Raw genomic sequence first — 5,777 nt, 5'->3', positions numbered from 1 at the left:
CACTGATGTAGTCAAGCAAAATGAAATTGCTCACAGCTCTCCTTACACATTGTCTTAGCTCTGGCTGCTATCACAAAATACCATAGGCTGGGTGGCTTGAACAACAAGCATTTATTTTTCACAGTCTGGAAGCTGCAAGTCTGAGATGAGAGGGCCAGCATGGTTCTCGGTGAGGGCTCTCCTCATGGTCCACAGATGCTGCCTTCTCACTGTATCCCCACATGGTGGAGTCAGACTAACTTTGTGCCTCTTCCTTTTCTTATAAGGGCACTAATCCCATCATGAGGGCCCTACCCTCATAACCTCCTCTAAGCCTAATTAATTCCCAAGGCCCCACCTCCAAATACTATCACATTGGTTATTAGCGTGTCAATATATGAATTTTTTGGAGACACAAACATTTAGTCTACAACACATACCGTCCATGCTTTCTAAATTCCAGCCCTTTCCTCTGTCTGGAATATCTCTGTAGTCTTTGGGTCAAGGAGCCCACATTTTTCAGATACTATATCATCAGTGAAGGTTTTCCTTATAAGCCCATCATAAGTAACTTCTCTCTCTTTTTAATGACAATAAGGCTCAATCTGACTCTGTTCTAAGGTACTTGTGTGACCAGTGTTTATGTGTGTACTACTACCTGAATAAACCCGGGGTTTCTTTGCCTGGTGAGTAAGAAAGGACTCTCCACAAGAATGCAAGTTTTGATCAATAGGAGTTTTATTACTTGTCACAAGTAAGGGGTGCACCAGGAGTGTTCTCCAAACTAGGGTCTCCCAGAGGGAAAGGTTTTATGGGGGAATGGAGAGGTGATAGGGTGCATCACTGTATGTATAGAAAGGGTCCTCAGGCCGGGCACAGTGGCTCATGCCTGTAATCCCAGCACTTTGGGAGACTGAGGCAGGCAGATCACCTGAGGTCAGGTGTTCGAGACCAGCCTGGCCAACATGGCGAAACCCTGTCTCTACTAAAAGTACAAAAATTAGCCAGACATGGTGGTGGGTGCCTGTAATTCCAGCTACTCATGAGGCTGAGGCAGGAGAATCGTTTGAACCCGGGAGGCGGAGGTTGCAGTGAGCCGAGATCGTGCCACTGCACTCCAGTCTGGGTGACAAGAGCGAAACTCTGTCTGAAAAAAAAAAAAAAAAAAGTGTCCCCTGTGGTGCAGACACTGTGAGTCATCATGCCAGCACATAGGTCACATATTATGGTCATAAAGCTACAGCTCCTGCCTCCTCCCGCAGGGAAATTTTAGCATGTTTATGAGGAAAGTTCACTCACGTTCACCTATAAGTTGCCGGGGTTATCAGGAACTAGTTCCAGGCAACTAGATGACCGTATTCCACACAGTGTTTGGAAAAAAACAGGCTGCAGGGCAAGAGGCTATAAAACGGGCTGATTACTCAAGCTGGTTAAATTCCTAGAGTCCCTGGAGACCCTCCCTGTCTGCTTACAATACCTTACCCTTCAGGAGGCTGTAACTTCCTTCCTGGTGGGGACAGGCCTCTTTCTCACAGTCCTGGCCAGTAGAGTTTTGCACAGAGAAAGCTGTGGCTGTCTGACTGTAGAGTCCACCACTGTCCTTAGTGTCTGGACCCAGGACCCTAAGGAGTTTGTTGCCCTCTGCCCCACTTCTCCTTTTCTCATAGCAGATGCCCTCAGGATGCTTTGGGAGATCCTCTTATTTTTTTCTCTAAAAAAAGGCAGATCCATGACCACATCTACTCCCTGGAACTTTCTTCAACCTTTCAGTAAACTTTTCCTATCAAGCAAGATACATGTTCCTCTCTTCCTAGCCTAGTTCACCCACTGTTTGTCTGCTTTGAATGGACATATTTCCAATTCTCTACAGGGTTAGAGGGTTAAGGTCCAGTGAGTGGGAGCTCATGATGGCTTTGGAGACTACTGGCTTTGGTTTAAATCCTAGCTTTCCAATCTAGAGAGGCTGTGGCTCTGGGCAAATTCCTTAAGCTTGTTGAATCTCTGACATTAGTCTGGATAATGGGGATGTGAGAAAGGAAAAAAAAATTCTTTCCATCTTGGGTTCTCCAGTGGAAGCCCTGTGAATTAGAGTAGCAAAGGACAGATTAACAAGGAAAAAAAGCCAGTTTATTAACATGTGCATTGGGCATACACGTGGGATCATCCAGTGATAAGTAACCCAAAGGGGTGGTTAGGATTTGGGCTTCTGTGCCATCTTAAGCTAGATAAAGGAAAAGGAGTTTGAGGCTTCAGGGCAAGAGAAGCAAGTTATGAAAAGGTGACAATGAAGTAGGGTAAACAATAGGTGTTTAATAAGGTTTGTAATGCAGATTTAAGTCAGTGCTTTCTCCATTGATAATAATTGTTAATAGTCCTCTTTTAGGTAAGGGAGAGGAAGATAACTTTTCAAATGGAAATTTCCTTTATAAATGTAAATTTCCTTTACAAAGAGAAAACTTGTGCCCTGTTTTTAGAGCTTTTCCTGAATCTGCTGATTTTCAATGCTCAGTAGCTCAAAAACCCATATGGCAAAGAGACATATTCGGGGGTGGCATATTCTGGTATCCTTCAGGGATAATCATGCACCTGTCCCCCAGGCAGAGCGAGAAAATAAATCGGACATGCTTCACTTATTGTTTCCATCAAAGTATATATCAATAAACTGTCACAATTATTCCAGTCTGTTTTGATCCCCACCTTGCTTTGTTCCTCCCCTTCCCTCCCTTTAACTATGGAACTGCCATCCATCCATCTCCTAATGCCACACCTCCATCTCCTCCTCCCCTGCCCACACCCCGCCCCCTTCTCCTCTTGGTCCCCACTTTGTCCTCCTGAGGAAGGGAAGGGGCACTTGGGAGAACTAGAGTGAGATGGACAAGTCCCAGGGAAGCCTCATTTCAAACGCAGCTGCTTCCGTTTACTGCTTCTCTTGTCGGGAGAGCAGAGGGCTTTCACTTTGGATCCCACAGAATGTGCTTTTCTGCTCCCCCAGGGCACACCTAATCCAATCATCACTCTTATTCAATGCCAGCTGCCACTGAGCAGCAAAGGGTCCCCCAGCTCCTCAGCTTACTCCTGAGTCCCAACCTGCTTGCTTTCTGTAGGAGCCAACAGGATTGAACAGTGTTTCTCTCTCGTATCCAATGTGGTCCAGCCAAAGCCTTAAGTTTTGCCTTGTTTTGTTCCAGTGTACCATATTACAAACTTTTTTGTTTTTGTTTTTGTGGTTTTTTGTTTTGTTTTGTTTTGTTTTTTTGAGACGGAGTCTAGCTCTGTCTTCCAGGCTGGAGTGCTGTGGCGCAATCTCCGCTCACTGCAAGCTCTGCCTCCCAGATTCATGCCATTCTCCTGCCTCAGCCTCCCGAGTAGCTGGGACTACAGGTAGCCACAACCACACCTAGCTAATTTTTTATATTTTTAGTAGAAACGGGGTTTTACCATGTTGGCCAGGCTGGTCTCAAACTCCTGACCTCAAGTAATCCACCAGCCTCAGCCTCCCAAAGTGCTGGGGTTACACTGTGAGCCACCCTGCGCAGCCACCATATTACAAGACTTTCTGCTCAAATACTGAACAGCAACAAGGAAGATCCCTAGAAATGCCAAGCAAAGATTTTTATGGGCATATTTTAACCGACTCCTCATGTTTTAGGTCTGAATTTGACAGGCTCAGGCTGTGGGATCTCAAATGACTTTACCTCTGGGAGCCTGGGTTTCCTTCTCTACAAAAGAGGAGGATAAGCAGGAAATGTTCTAAGGTTTCTCCCAGAGCAAACATTCTGGGAGTCTAGAGGTAGGTACAGATTTTATAAAATATTCAAACCCAACTTCCCATGGGTGATTTTTGGGTCAAGTCAAGACTATGACCCAATACCAAAGATGCTAATTCCAGAGTCTCTTGACTCTATGCAGCTGATGGCTCTTGAAAGCACCAGTTAGAATCAGCCAAAAATTTCCAAATAGCAAGAATATTAAGAATAATGGCTAACACATGCCAGCCACAGAGCCAAGGTTTTTATGCATTAACCCTTGAATCCTTATAACAGCCCTAGAAAGCACTTTTACAGAGGAGGAAGCAGAGGGGTCCGTATTCTGCATGGGTACACGTACAACTCTCCCTCACCCACACTCTGTAGAGGGCATGCTTTTTAGAACCAACTGACAGCAACCGGCTATATTGTATACTATATGCATATGTTGGGAATTGCTGATTTATTCTGTTAATATTCTGCTATTTTTATTTTTTTTAATGTCCATTTTTATTATAGATTCAGGGGGTACATGTGCAGGTTTGTTACAAGGGTATATTGTGTGATGTTGAGGTTTGGGCTTCTATTGATCCCATCTCCAGATAGTGAACATAGCACTCAATAGGAAGTTTTCCAGCCCTTGCCCCTCTTTCTCCCTCCTTTTGGAGTTCCCAGTGTCTATGGTTACCATCGTTATGTGCATGTGTACCCAATATTTAGCTCCCAGTTATAAGTGAGAACATGCAATATTTGTGTATTAACCTTTCTCAAGCTGCTAATAAAGACATACCCGAGACTGGGTAATTTATAAAGGAAAGAAGTTTAATTGACTCACTGTTCAGCATGGCTAGGGAGGCCTCAGGAAACTTACAATCATGGTAGAAGGAAGCAAACATGTCCTCCTTCATATGGCGGCAGGAAGAGAAGTGCTAAGCAAAAGTGGGGAAAACCCCTTATAAAATCATTGGATCTTATGAGAACTCACTCACTAGCATGAAAACAGCACAGGGGTAACCATCCTTATGATTAAATTACTTTCCACTGGGTCCTTCCCACGACACATGGAGATTATGGGAACTACAACTCAAGGTGAGATTTGGGTCGGGACACAGCCAAACCATATCAATTGGGTTTTCTATTTCTGCATTAATTCACTTAGGATAATGGCCTCCAGCTGCATCCATGTTGCTACAAAGGACATAACTTCATTCTTTTTTTATGGCTGTGTAGTATTCCATGGTGTATATGTACCACATTTTCTTTATCCAATCCTCCATTTATGGATACCTAGGTTGATTCCATGTCTTTGCTATTGTGATAGTGCTACAGTGAACATATGAGTGCATGTGTCTTTTAGGTAGAATAATTTATTTTCCTTTGGGTGTATACCCAGTGGTGGGATTGCTGGGTCAAATGGTAGCTCTATTTTTAGTTCTTTGAGAAATCCCCAAACTGCTTTCCACAGTGGCTGAACTAATTTACATTCCCACCAACAATGTATAGCCATTCCCTTTTCTCTGCAGCCTCATCAATGTCTGTTATTTTTTGACTTTTTAGTAATAGCCATTCTGATTGGTATGAGATGGTGTCTCATTATGGTTTTTATTTGCATTACTTTGATAATTAGTGATGTGGAGCATTTTTTCATATGTTTTTTGGTCACTCGTATGTCTTCTTTTGAGAAGTGCCTGTTCATGTCCTTTGCCCACTTTTTAATGAGATTTTTTTTTCTTGTTGATTTAAGCTCCTTATAGAGTCTGGATATTAGTCCTTTGTTGGATACATAGTTTGCAGATATTTTCTTCCATTCCATAGGTTGTCTGAATACTCTGTTGATAGTTTCTTTTGCTACACAGAAAGTCTTTAGTTTAATTAGGTTCCACTTATCAATTTTTGGTTTTGTTGCAATTGCTTTTGAAGACTCTTCTTTCTAAGTACTTTCCTGATCCAAGAGAGATTTAACTAAAAGCGTGGCCCTTTTAAGGCCTGATAAGAGACATTTGCCATCTATTCTACATCTTAAGAACCTTGATCTCCACAATCTCTTTTCTT

This window comes from Homo sapiens, chromosome 3 (assembly GCF_000001405.40).
Source record: "Homo sapiens chromosome 3, GRCh38.p14 Primary Assembly".
In the NCBI taxonomy this organism is placed as follows: domain Eukaryota; kingdom Metazoa; phylum Chordata; class Mammalia; order Primates; family Hominidae; genus Homo; species Homo sapiens.
Note: the sequence above shows the minus strand (reverse complement) of the source record.